The 25,160-nt window shown below is 46.2% G+C and overlaps 1 protein-coding gene across 6 annotated transcripts, besides 4 other annotated features; it reads left to right on the top strand.

Annotated features, from left to right (window-relative positions):
• Positions 12,941-12,990: an enhancer, noted in NCBI's record as "active region_25944". NCBI's record gives its function as "activates an Ori minimal core promoter by ATAC-STARR-seq in GM12878 lymphoblastoid cells {active_cell/tissue: GM12878}" and the evidence as "EXISTENCE:reporter gene assay evidence [ECO:0000049][PMID:35858748]".
• Positions 18,665-18,774: an enhancer, noted in NCBI's record as "active region_25943". NCBI's record gives its function as "activates an Ori minimal core promoter by ATAC-STARR-seq in GM12878 lymphoblastoid cells {active_cell/tissue: GM12878}" and the evidence as "EXISTENCE:reporter gene assay evidence [ECO:0000049][PMID:35858748]".
• Positions 18,865-19,024: a silencer, noted in NCBI's record as "silent region_18146". NCBI's record gives its function as "represses an Ori minimal core promoter by ATAC-STARR-seq in GM12878 lymphoblastoid cells {active_cell/tissue: GM12878}" and the evidence as "EXISTENCE:reporter gene assay evidence [ECO:0000049][PMID:35858748]".
• TMED4 (transmembrane p24 trafficking protein 4) lies at positions 19,148-23,485 on the top strand. 6 transcript variants are annotated; one of them, NM_001303061.2, is made up of 5 exons: positions 19,148-19,325; positions 19,556-19,656; positions 19,805-19,930; positions 20,140-20,286; positions 21,751-23,485. In NM_001303061.2, the coding sequence occupies exons 2-5, from the start codon at positions 19,573-19,575 to the stop codon at positions 21,898-21,900; spliced, it is 507 nt and encodes a 168-aa protein (NP_001289990.1). In that variant the 5' UTR covers positions 19,148-19,325; positions 19,556-19,572; the 3' UTR covers positions 21,901-23,485. The 6 variants fall into 6 exon arrangements, with proteins under 6 accessions (NP_001289990.1, NP_872353.2, NP_001289988.1 ...); NM_182547.4 differs by having other exon boundaries at positions 19,148-19,332; NM_001303059.2 differs by lacking the exon at positions 20,140-20,286 and having other exon boundaries at positions 19,148-19,332.
• Positions 19,425-19,524: a silencer, noted in NCBI's record as "silent region_18145". NCBI's record gives its function as "represses an Ori minimal core promoter by ATAC-STARR-seq in GM12878 lymphoblastoid cells {active_cell/tissue: GM12878}" and the evidence as "EXISTENCE:reporter gene assay evidence [ECO:0000049][PMID:35858748]".
• Positions 23,486-25,160: the final 1,675 nt, after the last annotated feature.

The raw sequence follows: 25,160 nt of genomic DNA, 5'->3' as shown, positions 1-25,160 counted from the left end.
GCACTTTCTGACGCAGTCTCCTTCATCTTCCTCATCTGGATGGAATGCGCCTGGCACTCTGTCACCAGGTGGTGATGTCCACCAGGTCAGGGCCCATGTTCCCAGTGCAGGTTTTGGGTGCCACTTGGAGGATAGTGCAGCCAGATGCCCAAACTCTTCACCTGAAGAGGGCGGGTTCTCCAACACCTGCCCACTGGAGACAGTTTCCACTGAAGGCTTCTTCAGCTGAGATACAAAGTGCCAGAGGCTCAAAGATTCGCATGGGGTAGAGGGTTGGTGTGCAGCTTTTGGGGGTGGTCAGGCAACACCCCCACCACCTTGTGTTCTTGATGTGTGCCCCAGGCCTTCCTGGCTTCTCTTAGTGCTAGCCACCACTCACAAAAGGTTGAAAGTTTTTAATTTTGATGTTGCTTATGTCATATCTAAGAATCCATTGCCAAATCTAAGGTTATGAAGATTTACCCTTATGTTTCTTCTATGAGGTAATGATTTTAGCTCATATTTAGATTGTTTACCCATTTTGAGTTAATTTTTATAAGTGACTGTGCAGTAGGGATCTAACTTCATTTTTTTTTTTTCTAAGACAGGGTCTCTCCCTGTCACCCAGGCTGGAGTACAGTGGCATGATCATAACTCACTGCAGCCTTGAACTGGGCTCAGGTGATCCTCCTACCTCAGCCTCCCAAGTAGCTAGTAATACAGATGCATGCCACCACACCTGGCTATTTTATTTTATTCTATATTTTATTATTTTATTTTAAGTTTATTTTGAGACAAGAGTCTCATTATGTTGCCCAGGCTGGTCTCAAACTTCTGGGCTCAAGCAGTCCTCCCGCCTTAGCCTCCCAAAGCACTGGAATTACAGGTGTGAACCACTGCACCCAGACCAACTTCATTCTTTTACACGTAGAACTCCAATTGTTCCAGCACCATTTGTTTAAAAGACTATTCTTTTTCCATTGAATGGACTTGCACCCTTTTTGAAAATCAGTTGACCATAGATGTTGGGTTTACTTCTGTATCATTCCACTTTTAGTATATGTGCTGCTGAAGCAAGCACTGGGTTTATTTCTGGACTCTCACTTCGATTCCATTGGTCTGTATGTCTGTCCTTATGCCAGTACCACACTGTTTGTTTTTAGGAAAACCTGTTCATTTTAAGTACCACACTGTTTTGATTACTGTACCTTTGTAGTAAGTTTTGAAATTGGGAAATGTCAGTTCTTCAGCTTGGTTCTTTTCCAAGATTGTTTCGTCTACTCAAGGCCCCTTACAGTTTCATATGATTTTAATAATTTGCTTTTCCATTTCTGCAAAAAAGGCTGTTGGGTTTTTTGTTTGTTTTTAGAGACTAGGTTTCTCTCTGTCACCCAGGCTGGAGTACAGTAGCATGATCATAGGATCATAGCTCATTGCAGCCTTGAACTCCTGGGCTCAAGTGATCCTCCTGCCTCAGCCTCCTGAGTAGCTGGGACTACAGATATGTACCACCACACCCAGCTACTTTTAAATTTTTATATAGAGACAGGGTTTCAGTATGTTGCTTAGGCTGGTTTCAACCTCCTGTTAAGCAATACTGTTGCCTCAGCATTCTAGTGATGGGATTACAGGCGCGAGCTACCATGCCTGGCCAGCTGTTGAGACCTTGATAGGTAGGCATTGTATTGAATCTGTAGATCACTGGGTAGTACTGACATCTTAACAATACTAAATCTTCCAGTCCATGAATACAGGATCTTTCCATTTATTTAGATTGTCTTTAATTTCTTTCAGCAATGTTTTATAGTTATCAATGTATATGTCTTTCACCTCCTTGGTTAAATTGATTCCTAGATACTTTATATTTTCCAATGCATATGTAAGTGGAATTGTTGTCTTAATTTCCTTTTCTTTTTTTTTTTGAGACAGTGTCTTGTTCTGAGGCCCAGGCTGGAGTGCAATGGCCTGATGCAATCTCAGCTCACTGCAACCTCTGCATTCCGGGGTCAGGTGATCCTCCCACCTCAACCTCCTGAGTAGCTGGGATTATAGGTGCACACCACCACGACCAGCTATATTTTCTATTTTTAGTAGAGATGGGGTTTCTCCATGTTGCCCAAACTGTTCTTGAACTTCTGGGTTCAACCAATCCGTCTGCCTTGGCCTCCCAAAGTGCTGGGATTACAGGTGTGAGCCACCATGCCTGGCCTTAATTTCCTTTTCTGATTGTTCATTACTGATGTATAGATTTTTGGGTGTTGATATTGTGTCCTGTGACTTTGCTGATATTGTTAATTAGCTCTCGTAACCTTCTTGTGGATTCTTTGAGATTTTCTATATGTAAGATTTAGTCATCTGTCAATAGAAATAGTTTTCCTTCTTCCTTTCCTGTTAGGATGCCTTTGGTTTCTGTTTCTCATCTAATTGCCCTGGCCAGAGCAGCCAGTACAATTTGAATAGCAGTGGTGAAAGTGGGAGTCCTTGTCTTGTTCCTAATTGGTGGAACAATCAGGGGAAAGCTTTCAGTCTTTTACTGTTGAGTGTGATGTTTGCTCTGGGATTTTCATAGATGCCCTTTAACATGTTAAGGAAGTTTCCTCCTATTCCTAGTTTTCTGAATGTTTTCTTTTTGTCATGAAAGGGCATTGGATTTTGTCAAATGCTTTTTCTTTATCACTTGAGATAATCGTGTTTTTTCTCCCTTCTATTACTATGATATATCACATTAATTGATTTTCTTTACAAAAATTTTTAAACATTTTATGTTTCTTTTTTTGAGATGGAGTCTCGCTCTGTCACCCAGGCTGGAATGCAGTGGCACAATCTCAGCTCACTGCAACCTCCACTTCCCAGGTTCAAGCAATTCTCCTGCCTCAGCTTCCTGAGTAGCTGGGATTACAGGCACCTGCCACCACAGCTGGTTAATTTTTTTTGTACTTGTAGTAGAGACAGGGTTTCACCATGTTGGCCAGGCTGGTCTGGAACTCCTGACCTCAGGTGATCCACCTGTCTCGGGTTCCCAAAGTGCTGAGATTACAGGCGTGAGTCACCACGCCCAGCCTTAATTTATTTTAAGTTCCAGGATACATGTGCGGGACATGCAGGTTAGTTATATAGGTAAATGTGTGCCATGGTGGTTTGCTGCACCTATCAACCCATCACCTAGTTATTAAGCCCCATATGCATTGGCTATTTATCCTAATGCTGTGCCCTTCCTGGATTTTTTTTTTTTTTTTGAGATGGAGTTTTGTTCTTGTCTCCCAGGCTGGAGTGCAATGGCATGGTCTTGGCTCACTGCAACCTCCGCGTCCCGGGTTCAAGCGATTCTTCTGCCTCAGCCTCCTGAGTTGCTGGGATTACAGGTGCCCACCACTACACCTGGCTAATTTTTGCATTTTTAGGAGAGGGGTTTCACCATGTTGGCCAGGCTGGTCTGGGACTCCTGACCTCAGGTGATCCACTCACCTCAGCCTCCCAAAGTGCTGGGATTACAGGCATAAGCCACCGTGCCCGGCCTCTTTTTTTTTAATTAAAAAAAAAATTTTAGGCTGGGCACGGTGGCTGATGCCTATAATTCTAACACTCTGGGTGACTGAGGTAGGTGGATCTCTTGAGCTCAGGAGTTTGAGATCAGCTTAGGCAACATGGTGAAACCCCATCTTTCCAAAAAAATACAAAAATTAGCCAGGCCTGGTAGCACGACCTGTAGTCCCAGCTGTTTGGGGTGCTGAAATGGGAGGATCACCAGAGCCTGGGGGTCGAGGCTGCAGTGAGCCGTGATCATGCCACTACACTCCATCCTGGAGGATGACACAGTGAGACACTGTCTCAAATTTTTTTTTTTTTTTTTTTTTTAGTAAACACAATATCTTGCTGTGTTGTCCAGGCTGGTTTTGAACTCCTGACTTGAAGTGATCCCCCCACTCCCTGCCTTGGCCTCCCAAAGTGCTGGAATCACAGGCATGCACCACCGCACCTGGCCAGCATGAATTGATTTTTTTTTTCTTTCTGAGACGGAGTCTTGCTCTGTTGCCCAGGCTGGAGTGCAATGGCATGATCTCGGCTCACTGCAACCTCTTCCTCCTAGGTTCAAGCGTTTTTCCTGCCTCAACCTCCGTAGCTGGGATTACAGGCGCGTGCCACCACGTCCAGCTAATTTTTGTATTTCTATTAGAGACAGGGTTTCACCATGTTGGTCAGGTTGGCCTCAAACTCCTGACCTCAGGTGATCCCCCTGCCTCCCCCTCCCCTCTCCCCCCTCCTCCCTTCCCTCACTCTCCTCTCCTTTTCCCTCCCACTCCCCCCTCCCCCTTTCCTCCCTTCCCTCCCTCTCCTCCCCTCCCTTCCCCTCCCCCCTCCTTTCCCCTCCTGTCTTCTCTCCCCTCCCGTCTGCTCCCCTTCCCCCTTCCCTTCCCCTTCCCTCCCTCCCCTCCCTTTCCCTCCCTCCCCTCCCTTTCCCTCCCTCCCCTCTTTTCTTTCTCTCTCTCTCTTTCTCACCTCCCTCCCTCCCTTCTCTCTCTCTCTCTCTTTATTTTTGGACAGGGGTCTCACTGTGTCCTCCAGACTGGAGTGAAGTGGCATGATCATGGCTCACTGCAGCCTCCACCTCCCAGGCTCAGGTGATTCTCCCATCTCAGTCTCCTGAGTAGCTGAGACTACAGGCACACCCCACCACACCCGGCTAATTTTTAAAATATTTTTTGTAGAGATGGGGTCTCGCCATGTTGCCCAGGCTGGCCTCAAACTCCTGAGCTCAAGTGATCTGCCCGCCTTGGCCTCCCAAAATGTTGGGGTTACAGGCGTGAGCCACCATGCCTGGCCATGAATTGATTTTCTTACATTGAACCTGCAGGACAGTTCTCTGGGTGGCCTTGAACTGATCCAGTTCTCCCCCACTTTCTCACTTATAGTTTTCAAGAATAACTGTAGAATGGGCTGGTATTGCAACATCCTGAGATGGGGGGAATTGGCTGGAACAGCCTGGGCTCTATTCCAGTTTCTCCTTGAAACAGGATGTCTTTCAGTGCTTTAGCCCAGTGTTTCATGTGGTCCCTGGGATAGAAAACCCTTGGCCGACTACTTTCTGGGGTCTCTCAACTGTGGTGCAAGTGGGGCAGGTACAGATGAGACTTCACTGCCTCAAGCAGCCTTCCTGAGCCTTGGGGTACTGGCTCAATCTGAATCCTAGGCTGCTGTTGTCCCTTGCTGCCTATCTATAAATAGTAAACCTGTTTCATGTGACTTATTGTGTATGTGAGGCAGTGTTCTGCCTCGCTGGATTCAGGAAAGTAGTAAAAGTGCAGCCCAAGAGGCAGTAGGCTGAAGTGGTAACCAGTGCACAGAGGACCTGCTTCACAGAGCCACTTGTGCATTCATGGCTAAAATCCACTGGGTCATGGTGTATAATCCTCTTGTTTTTTTTCTTGAGACAGGGCCTCGCTTTTGTCACCCAGGCTGGAGTGCAGTGGCACAATCTCGGCTGACTGCAACCTCTGCTTCCCAGCTCAAGCGATCCTCCAGTCTCAGCTTCCCAAGTAGCTGAGACCACAGGCACAAGCCAGCATGCCTGGCTCATTTTTGTATTTTCTGTAGAGATGTGGTTTCGCCATGTTGCCCAGGCCGGTTTTGAACTCCTGAGCTCAAAGAGATCTGCCTATTTTGGCATCCCAAAGTTCTAGGAATGCAGGCATGAGCCACCATGCCCCCAGCTATATATAATCCTCTTAATATGCTGTTGGATTTGGTTTGCTACTATTTTGTTAAGGACTTTTACATCTAGAATCATAACAGATATTGGTTTGTTTTCTTGTGATGTCTTTAAATGGCTTTAGTATTAGGTTAATGCTGGCTTCATAGAATGAGTTAGGAAATGTTCCCGCTCTTCAATTTGTTGGAGGAGTTTAAGAAGGATTGGTGTTGGCTGGGCAAGGTGATTCATGCCTGTAATCCCAGCACTTTGGGAGGCCAAGGAGGGTGGATCACCTGAGATCACGAGTTGGAGACCAGCCTGTAAATATGGTGAAACCCCATCGCTACCAAAAATACAAAAATAGCCAGGTGTGGTGGCGGGCACCTGTAATCCCAGCTACTCGGGAGGCTGAGACAGGAGAATTGTTTGAACCTGGGAGGTGGAGGTTGCAGTGAGCTGAGATCGTGCCACTGCACTCCAGCCTGGGTGACAGAGCGAGACTTCGTCTCAAAAAAAAAAAAAAAAAAAAGGATTGGGGATTGGTGTTAATTATTCTTTAGGTGTTTGATAGAATTTACCAGGGAAACTATTCCTGGACTTTATTTTGTCACTTTAGGTAATTTGTGTGTTTCTAGAAATTTGTCCAGTTCATGTAAATTAATCAAACTTGTTGGTATGTAATTTTTTTTTTTTTGAGATGGAGTCTTTCTCTGTTGCCCAGGCTGCAGTGCAGTGGCATGACCTTGGCTCACTGCAACCTCTGCTTGCCGGGTTCAAGAGATTCTCCTGGCTCAGCCTCCCAAGTAGCTGGGATTACGGGTGCCTGCCACCACACCCAGCTAATTTTTTTATTTTTATTTATTTATTTATTTTGAGATGGAGTCTCACTCTGGCACCCAGGCTGGAGTGCAATGGCGCAATCTTGGCTCACTGCCACCTCTACTTCCCAGGTTCAAGCTATCTTCCTGCCTCACCCTCCCAAGTAGCTGGGATTACAGGTACGTTCCACCACACTCAGCTAATTTTTGTATTTTTATTTATTTATTTATTTTTATTTTTACTTTGGAGACAGAGTCTCGCTCTGTCACCCAGGCTGGAGTACAGTGGCACGATCTCCTCTCACTGCAACATCTGCCTCCCAGGTTCAAGCGATTCTCCTGCCTCAGCCTCCCAAGTACCTGGGATTACAGGCGCCCGCCACCACGCCTGACTAGTTTTTGTATTTTTAGTAGAGATGTGATTTCACCATGTTGGCCAGGCTGGTCTCCGACACCTGACCTCTGGTGATCTGCCCACCTTGGCCTCCCAAAGTGCTGGGATTATAGGCGTGAGCCACCACACCCCACGGTATGTAATTTTGTATAATATTCTCTTATCTTTTTTATTTCTATATGGTCGGTAATGCCTCCACTTTCATTTCTGATTTTAATTATTTGTGTCTTCTTTTTTCTGTGTTAGTGTAGGGAAAGGTTTGTTCATTTTGTTGATCTTTTCAAAGAACCAACTTTTGCTATCATTGACTCTATTGTTTTTCTATCCTCTATTTTATTTATCCCTACTTTAATCTTTATTGTGTCCTTCCTTTTGCTAGTTTGGGGTTTAGTTGGCTCTTTTTCAAGTTCATCAAGGTATAAATTTGGTTATTGATTTGATATCTTTCTTCATTTCCACTATCACAAATTTTACACATGATCTTCTTTAAATGTAGACATTTACAACTATATATTTCCCTTTGAACACTGCCTTTAACTACATCCCATAACTTTTGCTCAGTATGATTTTTCATTAAAGTATACATTCCATATTCATTCAACAAATATTTGTTTGTTTATTTGTTTGCTTTTAGAGACAGAGTTTCACTCTGTTGCCCAGGCTGGAGTGAAGTGGCACGATCTTGGCTCACTGCAACCTCCACCTCCTAGGTTCAAGCGATTCTTGCACCTCAGCCTCCCAAGTAGCTGGGATTACAGGCGCCCGCCACCATGCCCAGCTAATTTTTTGTATTTTTAGTAGAGATGGGGTTTCGCCACGTTGCCCAGGCTGGTCTCAAACTCCTGAGCTCAGGCAATCCACCGCTCCAGCCTCCCAAACTGCTAGGATTACAGGCATGAGCCACCACAACCAGCCTCATTCAACAAATATTTATACTGGTTTGCTTCTAGGTGCTGGGGATACAGAGGTGAACACAACAGACAGGCGGGATCTATGTTATTACAGAGGTGACATTTTCAGGATGTACAAACAAGGTAGTAATTGATGGTTTGAAATCCATAGATAAAATGGTACTGTGATAGAGAGTGGCAGTAGCACTTCTTTCCTTCTTTCTTTCTCTCTCTTTCTTCTCTCTCTCTCTTTCTTTCTTTCTTTTTTTGTTTTTTGACCAAGTTTCACTCAGAGTGGCAATAGCACTTCTTTCCTTCTTTCTTTCTCTCTTTCTTTCTTTTCTCTCTCTTTCTTTTTTTTTTGTTTTTTGTTTTTTGACGGAGTTTCGCTCTTGTCGCCCAGGCTGGAGTGCAGTGGCATGATCTCTGCTCACTGCAACCTGCACCTCCTGGGTTCAAGCAATTCTCCTGCCTCAGTCTCCTGAGTAGCTTGGATTACAGGCTCCTGCCACCACACCTGGCTAATTTTTTGAATTTTTAGTAGAGATGAGGTTTCGCCATGTTGGGCAGGCTGGTCTTGAACTCCTCACCTCAGGTGATCTGCCCACCTGGGCCTCCCAAAGTGCTGGGATTACAGGTGTGAGATACCGCGCCCAGCCTCTTTCTTAATTTTTGAGACAGGGTCTCATTCTGTCACCCAGTCTGGAGTACAGCGGTGTGATCTCGGCTAACTGCAGCCTCTGCCTCCCAGGCTCAAACCATCCTCCCATTTCAGCCTCCTGAGTAGCTGGGACCACAGGCATGTGCTACCATACACAGGTAAGTTTTGTATTTTTGGTAGAGACAGGGTTTCACCATGTTGCCCAGGCTGGTCTCAAACTCTTGAGCTCAGGTGATCCACCTTCCTCGGCCTCCCAAAGTGCTGGGATCACAGGCATGAGGCACTGCGCCTGGTCTCTAGCATTTAATTTTTAATTTTTATTTTATTAAATAAATAACACATTATTTTCTGTTTTTTACTCTCAAACTCCTTTTGACTTTGATTTTTAATTTTTTATTTATTTATTTTTTTAGAGACAGGGTCTCACTTTGTCATCCAGGTTGGAGTGCAGTGGCATGATCATAGCTCATTACAGCCTCAAACTCCTGGCTTCAAGCATTCTCCTGCCTCAGCCTCCCAAAGTGCTGGGGTTATAGGCATAGGTCACTATACCTCGCCTCAAATTCCTTTTTACCAAGTGACATATTCATATGGCTCAGAAATAAAAAGTATATTTAAAAGTTTTGTTTGTAAAGTCTCCTACCCCATGACCATCCACCTCATTCTTTGTTGGCTTGCCAGACCCCTTCCCTGCTGGGGTTAACTCTTGTTGGATCATGGGGCAGTCATTTATCCTGGGGTGAGAGCAGAGGTGGAGGGAATTCAGGGGTTTGGTAGTGGCCATTTACCGACCAGGACAAGAATATTTCTATATTTTAACCAGTATAACCCTACTGGTGTATATGAGCTAAATCTTAGGTTACCTATAACCACTTACATTAGTTTCTTAAATATTCTTCCAGTGTTTTTTCATGAAGGTACAAATACCAAAGAGAGTTTACTATGTATTCTCTTCCGCATCTGCTTTTCAAATTGATGGCCAGGTGCAGTGGCTCACACTTGTAATCCCAGCACTTTGGGAGGCCAAGGTGGGTGATCACCTGAGGTTGGGAGTTCGAGACCAGCCTGGCCAACATGGTAAAACCCCATGTCTACTAAAAATACAAAAATTAGCCAGGTGTGATGGTGCACACCTGTAATCCCAGCTACTTGGGAGGTTGAGGCATGAGAATCAGTTGAACCCAGGAGGCAGAAGTTGCAGTGAGCTGAGATGGCGCCACTGTACTCGGGCCTGGGCTGCAGAGTGAGACTCTGTCTCAAAAAAAAAAAAAAAAAAAAAAAAAGGCTGGGCGCGGTGGCTCACACCTGTAATCCCAGCACTTTGGGAGGCCGAGGCGGGCGGATCACAAGGTCAGGAGTCGAGACCATCCTGGCTAACACGGTGAAACCCCGTCTCTACTAAAAATACAAAAAACTAGCCGGTCGCGGTGGCAGGTGCCTGTAGTCCCAGCTACTCGGGAGTTTGAGGCAGGAGAATGGTGCAAACCTGGGAGGCGGAGCTTGCAGTGAGCCGAGATTGCGCCACTGCACTCCAGCCTGGGTGACAGAGCAAGACTCCGTCTCAAAAAAAAAAAAAAAAAAAAGAAAGGAAAACAAATTGAACAGTATATCCTGGAAATCTTTCTATTCGTATAAAGCTTTTCAGTTCATAGAGAGCTTCCTGACTTTTTCCAGTTGCATAACTGCATTGTGTGGTTTCAGTAGGGATAGCTCATCAGCGTTCCATTTGGTATTGGCTGGGGCAGCTCCACTGGGACTGCAGGATCCAAGATGGCTTCATTCCAATGACTGGTCCAATTGGGTGGGCTGGACCTCCTGTCAGCTGGGTTCCAAGGGAATGAAAATGGAAGCTGCAAGGTCTCTTATGGCCTAAGCCCCAGAAGTCATATAGCTTCTCTTCCACTGCATTGAATTGGTCAGAACAAACCACAGGGCCAGTTCAAATTCAAGTTGAGGGAAAATAGACTCCACCCCTCAATGGGAGGAACAGTATGTGTTTATAGGGATTGGAGGAATTGTCAGCAGTGGTCTTTGCAGACAGTAACACACCAAAGCCCAATCAAGGTTCACGTCTTTTTTGGTATTATGCATCTTTTTATTTATTTTTTTGAGATAGGGTCTCACTCTGTCACCCTGGCTGGGTGCAATGGCGCGATTTGGGTTCACTGCAACCTCCACCTCTTGGACTCAAGCAATCCTCCCACCTCAGCTTCTTGAGTAGCTGGGACTATAGTCACACAACACCACTCCTGGCTTAACTTTTGTATTTTTTGTAGAGGTGGGATTTAGCCATGTTGCCCAGGTTGGTCTTGAACTTCTGGGCTCAAGCGATCCACCCACCTGGGCCTCCCAAAGTGCTGGAATTATAGGTGTGAGCCACTGCGCCCAGCCTTGGTCTCTTTTAAACTAGTACATTTCCCCCACTTTCTTTATCTTCTCTCTCTTCTTGACTTTAGTTTTTGAAGGGCTGAGGCAAACTTTCCCATACTCTGGATGTGCCTTATTGTTTCCTCTAACTTTGCCCTCTGTCTCCTAAATTTCCTGTAAACTGCAAGATGGGATAAAAGACCTGCTTAGATCAGGTTAAATGCTATTAAGGACAGGTGCTCGCGCCTGTAATCCCAGCACTTTGGGAGGCCAAGGTGGGTGGATCACTTGAGCCCAGGAGTTTGAGACCAGTCTGGGCAACATAGTGAAATTGCATCTTTACAAAAAAAATACAAAAATTAGCTGGGCATGGTGGCACGTGCCTGTAGCCCTAGCTACTGGGGAGGCTAAGGTGGGAGGATTGCTTGAGAGGCCGAGTCTGCAGTGAGTGAAGATCACACTACTGCATTGCAGCCTGGGCAACTGAGTGAGACTCCGCCTCAAAAAAAAAACCCAAACCGGGCTGGTGCGGTGGCTCACACCTGTAATCCCAGCAGTTTGGGAGGGCAAGGCGGACAGATCACTTGAGGTCAGGAGTTTGAGACCAACCTGGCCAACATGTTGAAACACCGTCTCTACTAAAAATACAAAATTTAATGGGGCATGGTGGTGCACGCCTACTCTGGAGGCTGAAGCAGGAGAATTGCTTGAACCTTGGAGGCAGAGGTTTCACTGAACCGAGATCGTGCCACTGCACTTCAGCCTGGGCAACAGAGCGAGACTCTGTCTCAAAAAACAAAACAAAACAAAACAAAACAACAAAAACCAACCAAACAAAAAGATTTAATGCTATTTGCAAAAATTCTCTGTACCCACTGATAATCCTTACGTTAGGATGATTGTCTCTTGCCTGGACAGGATAATTCTGAAACCTACTTCAGATTGTCATTCCTCACTCAAAACCCCCTAAAGAATTCTTGCTCAGGGTAAGAGCCAAAGTCCTTCAGATGTTCTAAAAGGCCAGCCCATCTGTGACTCTTTTCCTCTGACGTTCTCACATGCTGTCCTCCTGCCCCGCTGGCTTCCTTGCCCTCCTAATTCACCAGACATGCATTAGCCTCCAGCCTTCACTCTTTTCCCAGGCATACACACGACTGCCCCTCCTGAGGGGCCTTTCATCTGGCACCTTCTTGGGGAGCCTTACTGCCACTCTGTCTAAAATTGTACCCACCCACACCTCCAACTAAACACTCCTTACATTTTAGTTTCCTGTGGCTGCCATAACAAATTACCAGAAACATGATAGATTAAAACAACAAGGCCAGGTGCGGTGGCTCATGCCTGTAATCCCAGCACTTTGGGAGGCTGAGGTGGGCGGATCATGAGGTTAGGAGTTCGAGACCAGCCTGGCTGATATGGTGAAACGCCGTCTCTACTAAAAATACAAAAATTAGCTGGGCGTTGTGGCAGGTGCCTGTAATCCTAGCTACTTGGGAGGCTGAGGCAGGAGAATTGTTTGAACCCAGGAGGCGGAGGTTACAGTGAGCCGAGATCACGCCATTGTACTCCAGCCTGGGCGACAAGAGTGAAACTCCCATCTCAAAAAAAAAAAAAAAAAAAAAAAAAAAGACATGTATTCTCTCTCTCAGTCACGGACGGCAGAAGTCCGAAGTGAGGAGTGGGCAGGGCTGCACTTCCTAGGCTCTCGGGGAGACTTTTTTTCCTGTCCCTTCCAGTTTCTGGTGGCTCCAGGCATGCCTTGGCTTATGGCAGCATTATTATTCCAGTGTCTGCCTCTGTGATCATAGTGCCTCCTTTTCTTTTTTTTTTTTTTACATTTTTTTTTTGTATTTAGAGAAAAAAACACTTAACATAAAATTTACCATCTTAACCTTTTTTTTGAGACTCTGTTGCCCAGGCTGGAATGCAGTGTTACAATCACAGCTCACTGCAGCCTCAACCTCCTGGGCTCGTGACATCCTCCCATCTGACTCTCCCAAGTAACTGGGGACCACTGGCATGTGCCACCACACTTGGCTAATTTTTACATTTTTTGTAGAGACAGGGTTTCTCTATGTTGCCTAGGCTGGTCTCAAACTCCTCAGCTCAAGCAATCCTCCTGCCTTGGCCTCCCAAAGTGCTGGGATTATAGGCGTGAGCCACCACGCCTGGCCATGTTAACCATTTTTAGGTGTGCAGTTCAGTATGTTAAATATATTCACATTGTTATGAAACAGATGTCCAGAACTTTTTCATTTTGCTAATCTGAAACTCTGTACCCATTAGACAACAGCTCCCCCCGCAGGTAACCATTCTACTTTTTGCTTCTATGATTTTGACTACTTTAGACACTTTATCTAAATGGAATCATATGGCAATTGTCTTTCTGTGATTGACTTATACTACTTAGCATAATGTTAAGTTTCATCCATGTTGTAGCATGAATCAGAATTTCATCCCTTTTTATGGCTTGATAATACTGCATTGTATGTATATACCACATTTTGCGGTAGGTACAATGTATATTTACATTGCTTCCACCTCTTGGCTACTGTGAATAATGCTGCTATGAAAATGGGCGTGTAGGTATCTTTTCCAGATCCTGACTTTACTTCCTTTGGATAAATACTTACAGGTGGGACTGCTGGGGTATATGATTGTTCTACTTTTAATTATTTAACACTCTTCTACAATTTATTTTCTGTTTTTGTTGTTCTAATAGTAGTTATTATTAGGTGAGGTATTTCTTATCTCTTATAAGGACACCTGTCATTGGATTTAGGGTCCACCTGGTTAATCCAGGATTATCAAGTCTCAAAATCCTGAATTACATCTGCAAAGACTCTTTTTCCACATAAGGTCACATTCACAGGTTCCAGTGATTCAAACATGGACATGTCTTCTGGTCCCCCATTATGTCCACTATACTCTCTTTTTTTTTTTTTTTTTTAAGATGGAGTCTCGCTGTGTCGCCCAGGCTGGAGCGCAGTGGCGCGATCTTGGCTTCCTGCAAGCCCACCTCCCAGGTTCACGCCATTCTCCTGCCTCAGCCTCCCGAGTAGCTGGGACTACAGACACCCGCCACCACGCCCAGCTAATTTTTTTGTATTTTTTTAGTAGAGACGGGGTTTCACCATGTTAGCTAGGATGGTCTTGATCTCCTGACCTCGTGATCCCCCTGCCTCAGCCTCCCAAAGTGTCGGGATTACAGGCGTGAGCCACTGCGCCTGGCCTAAGTCCACTATACTTTCTTCTTCCCTGCCTTATTTTTATTCTTGATACTTATCTCCATCTGACATGCTCTATATTTCTTTATTTATCTTGTTTGGCAGACGACAATCAAGATAAAGCCATGGAGACAAGGATTTTTGTTGCTGTTGTTCTTGTTTTTTGAGACAGAGCCTCACTCTCACCCAGGCCTAGAGTGCAGTGGCACAATCTCGGTTCACTGCAACCTCTGCCTCCCAGGCTGAAGTGATCCTCCCACCTCAGCCTCCAGAGAAGCTGGGACTACAGGTGCTTGCCACATGCCTGGCTAATTTTTTGTATTTTTGGTAGAGACGGGGTTTTGCCATGTTGTCCAGGCTAGTCTTGAACTTCTGAGTTCAGATGATCCACCCAAAGTGCTGGGATTACATGCGTGAGCCACTGCGCCTGGCCTAGACAAGGATTTTTGTTTTGGTCACCTGTGTTTTCCCATTAGAACAGTGGCTGGCACAAATGGCTGCACAGCACATACTGGTTGAACAAATGAAGGACGGGGTGGCTGGTCTAGACAAAGAGCCTAGACAAACATCGGCAGAAATTGCTTCATGGCTTCTGAGCAGAAAAATCTCTCATCTGGGGAATTAGACTCCCTAAGTTAAATTTTCTTTCTTTTTTGGAGATGGGGTCTCACTCTGTTGCCCAGGCTGGAGTGCAGCAGCACCATCACAGCTCACTGCAGCCTCAACCTCCTGGGGGTCAAGCAATCCTCCCACCTCAGCCTCCCGAGTAGTTGGGACTACAGGCCCATGCCACCATGCCCAGCTAATTTTTTTTTTGGTAGAGACAGGGTGTCACCATGTAGCCCAGACTGGTCTTGAACTTCTGGACTCAAGCGATCTTCCTGCCTCGGCCTCCCAAATGCTGGGATTACAGGCATGAGCCACAGTGCCTCACCTCCTAAGTTAAATTTTCTGCAGTGGAGAATACAATCTCTTTAATATTATCTCTCAGTTAAGACAAATTTCAGGATCCTCCTTAAAAAAAAAAAAAAAAAGAAAGAAAATAAGTTTGCCAATACAAATACCATTTCTCACTAAAGTGAATTAGGGTTCCTTGGAGAAATGGTTGGTTTTGTTTCTGGGCAGTAAATGTATAAAACGGAAAGCAAGGAAGTCCAGGGTGTCCAATCTTTTGGCTTTCCTGGGCCACACTGGAAGAAGAAGAATTGTCTTGGGCCACACATAAAATACACTAACAATAGCTGATGAGCTAAAAAAAAAAAAATCTCATAATGTTTTTAGAAAGTTTATGAATTTGTGTTGGGCTGCATGGGCCACAGGTTGGACAAGCTTGACCTAAAGACTACTAGGATTGTGGATTACTAGGATTGTGCCAGAAGGACACAGCAGCAACTAAATATTTGATGAGACAATCTGAACATTTAAAAAAGGACAATGACTGTAATGGATTAAAGCACATCAAATATCTAAACATCCATCAATTCATGATAGCACTGCCCCTTCTCCCCAAAGAACCCAAAGTGGTCACAGTTAGAGGTTGCTGGGGCATCCATCCATCCATCTTTATTATTATTACTATTATTTGAGACAAGGTCTCACTCAGTCACCCATGCTAGAGTGCTGTCGTCCCATCACGGCTCACTGTATCCTCAACCTCCTGGGCTCCAGCCATTTCCCTGCCTCAGCCTCCTAAGTAGCGGGAATTACAGGCATGCATCACCATGCCTGTCTAATTTTTACATATTTTGTAAAGATCTTGCCATTTCCTGGGCTCAAGCAGTCCTCCTGTCTTGGCCCCCCAAAGTGCTGGGATTATAGGCAGAGCCACTGTGCGTGGGAAAGCATCAAGCATACATCCTGGCTATCCCGAATGGATTGTATTTCAAAGTAACCAGAGAGATGAGGGAATGCTCACCTTTGTAGAAGAATCTCATCTTATAAATGCAGGAGAAATGAGAGCATTTGAAATTACCACTTTGCACACCTAAGGAACATCATAAAACTACACTAGGGTTTCTCAACCTGGGTACTACTGACATTTTGAGCTGGATAATTCTTCGCTGTGGGGGGGAGGTGTGCTCTGTGAATTATACAATGTTTAGCAGTATTCCTTGCATTCATTTTCTAGATAACAGCAGTACCACCCGCCACCCCCCACCCAGTTGCAACAATCCAAAATATCTCCAGACATTGCCAAATTTCCCCTTGGTAGGACAGGGCAGAATCAACCCTCGTTGAGAACCAATGGTCTAATGATCATCAACGTTTGCTAGACTATTAGAAGAAAGGCTGATGGTAAACTTCATGGATAATCAGGATGACAACCCCCAAATTGAGAGATGAATTACAATATTACTAAGAGACAAACCCGCCTTGTGCCTCAGTAGAAGTACATAGTGCCAGCCACGAAGCGTTATTGCAAACAAAACAAAACAAAAAAACCCAAACCTCAACATTACACCTAAACCTAATGAAGCTTCTAGCCAGGGGCAAATCCAAGCTTTGTGGGGCCTTAAACTATACAAATTTCACAGTCCTCTTTAAGAAAAAGACACAAAATTATAAATGCGAAATTAGGTACGGGGGTCTATGCAAGGGAGGGCCTGAAGATTAAGCTTCATTAGTTTCACTGTAAACCTCCCCTGACTCTAGAATTAACTGTGATTACAGGACATACCAGGGACAAAAAACGTTAAATGACACCTGAAGATACAATCAGCAAAACCCAGAAAGTGGAAAATTCTGTTGGTCAAATGACCCAGTTTCTTCAATAAGTAAATGCCATGAATAACAAACAACAAAAAGAGAGGGGAAATTTATATATATAATATATATATAATATGTATAATATATATATATGTTGTTATATGGTTTGTTTTTTTTTTTTTGGACACGAGTCTCTCTCTCACCCAGGCTGGAGTGCAGTGGCATGATCTCGGCTCACTGCAACCTCTGCCTCCTGGGTTCAAGCGATTCTTCTGCCTCAGTCTCCCAAGTAGCTGGGACTACAGGTGAGCACCACCACACCCAGCTAATTTTTGTATTTTTGGTAGAGGTAGGGTTTCACCATATTGGCCAGGCTGGTCTCGAACTCCTGACCTCGTGATCTGCCCACCTTGGCCTCCCAAAGTGCTGGGATTACAGGTGTGAGCCACTGCGCCCGGCCCTGTTTTTGTTTGTTTTGAGATAGAATCTCACTCTGTTGCCTAGGCTGGAGTACAGTGGCATCATCTCAGCCCACTGCAACCTCCACCTCCCTGATTCTAGCAATTCTCCTGCCTCAGCCTCCCAAGTAGCTGAGATTACAGGTGTGCACCACCACACCTGGCTAATTTTTGTATTTTTAGTAGAAACAGGGTTTCACCATGTTGGCCAGGCTGGTCTCAAACTCCTGACCTCAAGTGATCCTTCCACCTCAGCCTCCCAAAGTGCTGGGATTACAGGCATGAGCCACTGTGCCCAGCCAAAATTGTTATATATTAAGAGACATATATTTGTATGAAATGCAGTAAGTAAACCTTGTTTGGACCCTAAATATCTAATGTACAAAATTTTTTAAGGCAATGGGGAAAATTAAACACATACTAGGTATTAAGTGATGTTAAATAATTTTTAAAATTTTGGTGGGTGTGATAATAGTATAAAGTCCTTATCTGTTAGAGACACACACTGACGTATTTATAGGTGAAATGACATGATGTCCAGGATTTGCTTTAATATACAGCACTTCAAAAAAAAATGCAGAAAGGGATACATGAAATGAGAAAGGCAGCAAACTGTTGTTGAAGTTGGATGATGAGTACAGCCCTCCGTTATTATCCAAGGGGGATAATTCCTGGACCCCTACGGATACCAAAATCCAGGTATGCTCAAGTTCTTTATGAAAGTTCATTGTAATTATTCTATTATATAAAAGTTTCGAAATTCTGTTGATAAAATGTATTTTTAGTAGAGACGGGGGTTTCACCTTGTTGGCCCAACTGGTCTCGAATTTCTAACCTCAGATGATCCACCAGCCTTGGCCGCCCAAAGTGTTAGCATTACAGGCGTGAGCCACCGCGCCCGCCTGGCCTTGATAAAAACAGTTTTAACCTTCCGTTGCTTCGATTCCATGCCCACTAAGTAACATTCCAGTTTGTTTTTCACTTTCAAAAGGATGTGCTGTAACTAGGGGATGTAAACAAGCTCCATGACCCTACTTATTCCAAGTTTTCGTTCCACTCTCCCACCTTTTTTTTAAGACAAGGTATCACCCTCGGTCGCCCAGGCTGGAGCGCGATCACTGCTTAATGCATCCTCGACCTCCTGGGTTCAAGCGATTCTCCTGCCTCAGCCTCCCAAGTAGCTGGGACTACATGCGCACACCACCACACCGGTTAATTTTTTGTAGAGACGGGGGTTTCACCATGTTGCCCAGGCTGGTCCCGAACTCCTGGGCTCAAGGGATCCGCCCGCCTCAGCCTCCCAGAGTGCTGGGATTACAGGTGCCAGCCACCGCGCCCGGCCCCAGCTTCTTAAAAGAATGATCCGAAACTATGGCAGCACTGGGCTTTTGGTCCCCACCCAAGAAATGCCCGCTCGCAGAGGCTCGCCGCGGCAGGCTCTCCCGACGTGACAGAGTGTGGGTCTGGATTCAGCCTCGGTTCTTACGAGTCAGATAGGTGGACACGCAAAGCAAAACATCACAGGGCTTTTTGTATTTAGCACAGAAAACACTTGTGAGCCCGAGCTGAGAACCCAAAAGGCACGCTTCAGGCCATCGTAGCCACCAAGCCTGGTCAGATTCCGTCCACCGTCTCCTTGGTGCTCCGAGACCCAAATCGCTGACTGGGGCCGAGGGCGGGCGTGACTGCGCAGGCGTGCCTCCCCTGCGAGATGCCGGAGGTAAGCTGCGGGGTAAGGGGCGAGAAATTAAGGGCGAACGTCATTGCGCATGCGCCCTCTACTCTCGTTGCGGGGGTAGGCGGGCGCCGGGCTGTGTGAGGGGGCGGGGCGCGGCAGTGTTCGGTACGGATGGAGTTGCAGGAGACGGCGAGTACATATCACTGCGCAGGCGTCCTCTTCCCCTAACTCTCAGGGTCGCTAGGGTGGCGCGCAGGCGCAGAGCGATGCGCAAATGTGCGCAGGCGCTTAGGGGCTGAGGCGCGATGGCAGGTGTCGGGGCTGGGCCTCTGCGGGCGATGGGGCGGCAGGCCCTGCTGCTTCTCGCGCTGTGCGCCACAGGCGCCCAGGGGCTCTACTTCCACATCGGCGAGACCGAGAAGCGCTGTTTCATCGAGGAAATCCCCGACGAGACCATGGTCATCGGTCAGGCGGGCTGAGGGTGGGGAGGCCCTTTGTACCCAGCTCAGCCCTCGGCGGCGCTCCCTCCTCCCGAGCCCAGCCGGGTCGCTGGCTCCCCCAGTACCTAGCCTGAGGGTGCCCCGAGGACGCCAGGCCCCCTGCCTAGAGCTCCGGGCCGCACGTCGGAGGGGGCCGGGCGGAGAGGCGGCCCACTAGGGCCGGTCGTGACTATGTGTCTGCCCCGCAGGCAACTATCGTACCCAGATGTGGGATAAGCAGAAGGAGGTCTTCCTGCCCTCGACCCCTGGCCTGGGCATGCACGTGGAAGTGAAGGACCCCGACGGCAAGGTAAGGCTGGCGTTGGCCCACGCAGCCGTTCTTCAGTGGAGCTCCCGTGGGGTGTAAAGCACTGCCTGGAGGAGGCCTCAAGGGACAGGAACTTGCACTTGGAGAGCCTGCGGTATAAAGGTGGGGCCTTCACTCACATATGTTGCAGGTGGTGCTGTCCCGGCAGTACGGCTCGGAGGGCCGCTTCACGTTCACCTCCCACACGCCCGGTGACCATCAAATCTGTCTGCACTCCAATTCTACCAGGATGGCTCTCTTCGCTGGTGGCAAACTGGTAAGAGGATTTTCTCTTTGGCTTCAGCTTAGAATCTCTCACTTGTTTCCAAATTTTGATTTATCAAGATTGTGAAACTTTGTAGCACAGTCAGAATTGGGGAGACAGATGTTGCCTTCTGCTCCACAGCCAGGGACAATAGTGGGTTCCATACCCTGGAACAGACAACTGGAGGCCCCACCACTCATACATTCCATGTTTCCTTGTAGCGGGTGCATCTCGACATCCAGGTTGGGGAGCATGCCAACAACTACCCTGAGATTGCTGCAAAAGATAAGCTGACGGAGCTACAGCTCCGCGCCCGCCAGTTGCTTGATCAGGTGGAACAGATTCAGAAGGAGCAGGATTACCAAAGGGCAAGTGCATATCTCCTTGTAATTTGAGAGGGCAGTTGACCTTTATACCCACTATACCTACTCAAGTTTCTGCTTGGGAGATCAGCTCTGCAGAGAATGGAATGAGAAGTATTGGTTTAGATAGGTTGTTTGTTTGTTGTTTTTGAGACGGAGTTTCACTCTTGTTGCCCATGCTGGAGTGCAATGCCATGATCTTGGCTCACTGCAACCTCCGCCTCCCCAGGTTCAAGCGATTCTCCTGCCTCAGCCTCCTGAGTAGCTGGGATTACAGGCATGCGCCACCATGCCTGGCTAATTTTGTACTTTTAGTAGAGACGGGGGTTTCTCCACGTTGGTCAGGCTGGTCTCGAACTCCCGACATCAAGTGATCCGCCCGCCTCAGCCTCCCAAAGTGCTGGGATTACAGGTGTGAGCTACCGCGCCCTGCCTGTTTTGCTTTTTTATCAAAACATTTTATTGTGGTAAAATATAACACCAAATGTGTCATTTTAACTGTCTATATAGTTCAGTGGTATTAAGTGCCTTCATAATGTTGTGCTACCAACACCATCATCCAGCTCCAGAACTTTTTCATCTTCTCAAACTAAAAATCTGTACTTATTTTGTTTTGTTTTTGAGATGGAGTCTCGCTCTGTTGCCCAGGCTGGAGCGCAGTGGCGCCATCTCGGCTCACTGCACCCTCCGCCTCCCAGGTTCAAGCGATTCTCCTGCCTCAGCCTCCCAAGTAGCTGGGATTACAGGCAAGTGCCACCATGCGTGGCTCATTTTTGTGTTTTTAGTAGAGACTGGGTTTCACCATGTTGGCCAGGCTGGTCTTGAACTCCTGGCCTCAGGCAATCCACTGCCGCAGCCTCCCAAAGTGTTGGGATTACAGGCGTGAGCCACTGCACCCAGCAAATCTGTACTTATTATAAACAATAACTTCCCGTTTCCTTTTGTCCTGACACCCACCATTCTACTTTCTGTCTCTATGATCCTGACTACCCTATCTCATATAAGTGGAATCATTCAGTATTTGTCCTTTTGTGACTGGCTTATTTCACTGAGTATAATGTTCTCACAGTTCATCCATGTTATAGCATGTGTCAGAATTTCTTAAGGCTAATATTCCATTGTATGCATGTGCCACATTTCGCTTTCAGTAGTCATTTTTAAGCTCTATAAAATAAAATGAAGAAAGGACAGTTCACAATCTAGTAATAGCCATTGCCTACCTGTTTTTCTTGGACTCTTGTTGGAAATGGTAGGATCATGATTTCAGTCCTAACAGAGATGCTTGTGGAGGGACAGCCTGTCCCTTTCTTGGGGCAGCCTCAGTGGGGAGACCATAGCACTCCTAATGGAGTCACAGATAGTATTCCAAAAGGAGTTTGGTCCTGGAGTTGAGTAATTACACGCAGGGAGGGACCTCACAACAGCCAGACTGTTTCTCCTGCTCACTTAACCCTGTGTTGCCCCACACAGTATCGTGAAGAGCGCTTCCGACTGACGAGCGAGAGCACCAACCAGAGGGTCCTATGGTGGTCCATTGCTCAGACTGTCATCCTCATCCTCACTGGCATCTGGCAGATGCGTCACCTCAAGAGCTTCTTTGAGGCCAAGAAGCTGGTGTAGTGCCCTCTTTGTATGACCCTTCCTTTTTACCTCATTTATTTGGTACTTTCCCCACACAGTCCTTTATCCACCTGGATTTTTAGGGAAAAAAATGAAAAAGAATAAGTCACATTGGTTCCATGGCCACAAACCATTCAGATCAGCCACTTGCTGACCCTGGTTCTTAAGGACACATGACATTAGTCCAATCTTTCAAAATCTTGTCTTAGGGCTTGTGAGGAATCAGAACTAACCCAGGACTCAGTCCTGCTTCTTTTGCCTCGAGTGATTTTCCTCTGTTTTTCACTAAATAAGCAAATGAAAACTCTCTCCATTACCTTCTGCTTTCTCTTTGTCCACTTACGCAGTAGGTGACTGGCATGTGCCACAGAGCAGGCCCTGCCTCACTGTCTGCTGGTCAGTTCTGGGTTCACTTAATGGCTTTGTGAATGTAAATAAGGGGCAGGTCTTGGCCCTAGAGGATTGAGATGTTTTTCTAAATCTTAGAACTATTTTTGGATAAATTATATATTTTCCTTCCTAGTAGAAGTGTTACTGCCTGTAACTAGCTCAAAATACCAATGCAGTTTCTGCATTCTGGGTTTTGTTTTTCCTTTTTTTTTTTTTTTTTTTTTTTTGAGTTTTGCTCTTGTCGCCCAGGCTGGAGTGCAATGGCGTGATCTCAGCTCACTGGCAACATCTGCCTCCCGGGTTCAAATGATTCTCCTGCCTCAGTCTCCTGAGTAGCTGGGATTACAGGTGCCCGCCACCACGCTCAGCTAATTTTTGTATTTTTAGTAGAGATGGGGTTTTACCATGTTGGCCAGGCTGGTCTTAGACTCCTGACCTCAGTTGATCCACCTGCCTCAGCCTCTGCATTCAGTTTATTCACATATTTTTGGTAACTCCCATGGCAGCTCCTAGGATTTCAGCGGTCTGTGGGCCAGAAAGCAGGCACCAGGGCTGACCTCAAGGCCGTATCAGAGGGCCAAGCAGAGTTCTTTTGGATACCTGCTTTTCATCCCACAGGGCCTTAGAGTCAGAGGTAAGGTAGCAACAGAGCTAGAATGGGGCAATGCACTCTTACCCTCCTTCTCAACTTTTATTTAAGCTGTGCTAAATGTTTTCTTCAAGGGAACCAGATTTAGTTCTTTACAGAATTTTCCAGTGAAATAAAACATGTTGTAATAGCTGTGTTTGAGATGAAATAAGAGGTTGTGGGTAGAGGGGAGGCACCTAAAGGAAAAGAGGAAAGGTGCCTGGGCTACCTATGCAGATAACCTGGAGTGGACTTCACTGTGGACTCGTGGTACTAAGGCTTGGCCTGGACAGGCAGTCTAGGGGGTATGGGAATACACGGTGTGGTTGTTCAACTATTTGCAAAGGTCAACCAAATAGACCACATGTTCGCAAAGTATCATCTGAGGAAATTAAGTACCTTCTTAGCCCTCTCAGTCATAAATTTGAACAAATTTTAATACACTTCCCTCATGCCCTTCTATATAAAACTTAATACCATTAGTTCCCCATTCTTGACATTTTATTTCAGTTTTTATTATATATTTATTTGAAATATTTATTAAATTATCTGACCTACAGAACTAAATTCTTCTCCTTTTGTTATTTCTTATGTCCTATACCATATATGTACCTATTTATATATATATTTATGTATTTTTAAAATTTTTATTTATTTTATTTTTTGAGACAGTCTTGCTCTGTCGCCCAGGCTGGAGTGCAGTGGCATGATCTTGGCTCACTGCAACCTCTGCCTCCCGGGTTCAAGCAGTTCTGCCTCAACTTCTGAGTAGCTGGGATTACAGACACCCACCACTACACCCGGCTAATTTTTGTATTTTTATTTTATCTTATTCATTTATTTATTTTTGAGATGGAGTCTCACTCTGTCGCCCAGGCTGGAGTGCAGTGGTGCAATCTTGGCTCACTGCAACCTCCACCTCCTGAGTTCAAGAGATTCTCCTGCCTCAGACTCCCGAGTAGCTGGGATTATAGGCGCCCGCCACCATGCCCAGCTAATTTTTGTATTTTTAGTAGAGACAGGGTTTCACCATGTTGACCAGGCTGGTCTTGAATTCCTGACCGCAGGTGACCCGTCTCGCCTCCCAAAGTGCTGGGATTACAGGTGTGAGCTGGCCGGGCACAGGTGATGGGGTCTTGCTCTGTCCCCAAGGCTGGAGTGCAGTGGTGCCATCACAGCTCAAAGCAACCTTGAGCTCCCAGGTTCAAGTGATCCTCCTACCTTACCCTCCCAAGTAGCTGGTACTACAGGTATACTCCACTGTGCCTGGCTATTTTTACTCTTAAAAATACATGTGGGCTGGGCACGGTGGCTCACGCCTGTAATCCTAGCACTTTGGGAAGCCAAGGTGGGTGGATCCCTATAGCCCAGGAGTTCGAGACCAGCCTGGGCAACATGGCGAAATCTTGTCTCTGCAAAAAATACAAAAAATTTAGCTGGTGGCACATGCCTATAGTCCCAGCTACTTGAGAGGCTGAGGTGGAAAGATCACTTGAGCCCGGGAGGTCAAGGCTGCGGTGAGCCATGATCGTGCCACTGCACTCCAGTCTGGGCAACAGTGATCCCATCTGAAAAAAAAAAACAAAAAAAAAAATGCAATTTAGGGCCAGGTGGGGTGGCTCACGCCTATAATCCCAGCACTTTGGGAGGCCAAGGCAGGGGGATCGCCTGAGGTCAGCAGTTTGAGACCAGGCTGGCCAACATGGTGAAAACCCCTCTCTACTAAAAGTATAAAAATTAGCCAGGCATGGTAGTGTGTGCCTGTAATCCCAGCTATTCAGGAAGCTAAGGCAGGAGAATCGCTTGAACCCGGGAGGAGGTTGCAGTGAGCAGAAATCGAGCCACTGCACTCCAGCCTGGGGGGCAGAGGGAGACTCTGTCTCAGAAAAAAAAAAAAAAATGCAATTTAGTTCTCTAGGCTTTTCCATTTAATAGTTTTATATCCTCCTGTTTCTAAATCTGGATGACAGTGTAACACTCCAGTAAGGTGAATTGTGAATTGCTGAAATTCTTCAGATGTTTAAAAGAGTTTTCAGTATTCCTCATGTTAGAATTAATGCAGAGAAAAATTTTATCCTTTGAACTAGTTACATGTTGTGGACTTCTGGCCTGAGGCTCTTGGGGATTATGTGACATATTGGGAAGGGACACATTTCTGCTCTGTGGCTGTTACTAGAAATCTAGCCAGCAAATCAGACTACGTTTGTGAGAAGACAGGAAGGCACAGATTAGGGTTGAGCCA

Source organism: Homo sapiens, chromosome 7 (genome assembly GCF_000001405.40).
Source record: "Homo sapiens chromosome 7, GRCh38.p14 Primary Assembly".
NCBI classification, from domain to species: Eukaryota; Metazoa; Chordata; class Mammalia; order Primates; family Hominidae; genus Homo; species Homo sapiens.
The sequence above is the reverse complement of the archived record's forward strand: the minus strand, read 5'-3'. Positions and strand labels throughout refer to the sequence as shown.

Coding starts and splice junctions, on each gene's coding strand:
- TMED4 (NM_182547.4), top strand. CDS start 19,173: ATGGCAGGTGTCGGGGCTGGGCCTCTGCGGGCGATGGGGCGGCAGGCC. Junction 19,657..19,804: donor TGAAGGACCCCGACGGCAAG/GTAAGGCTGGCG, acceptor CATATGTTGCAG/GTGGTGCTGTCCCGGCAGTA. Junction 19,931..20,139: donor TCTTCGCTGGTGGCAAACTG/GTAAGAGGATTT, acceptor GTTTCCTTGTAG/CGGGTGCATCTCGACATCCA.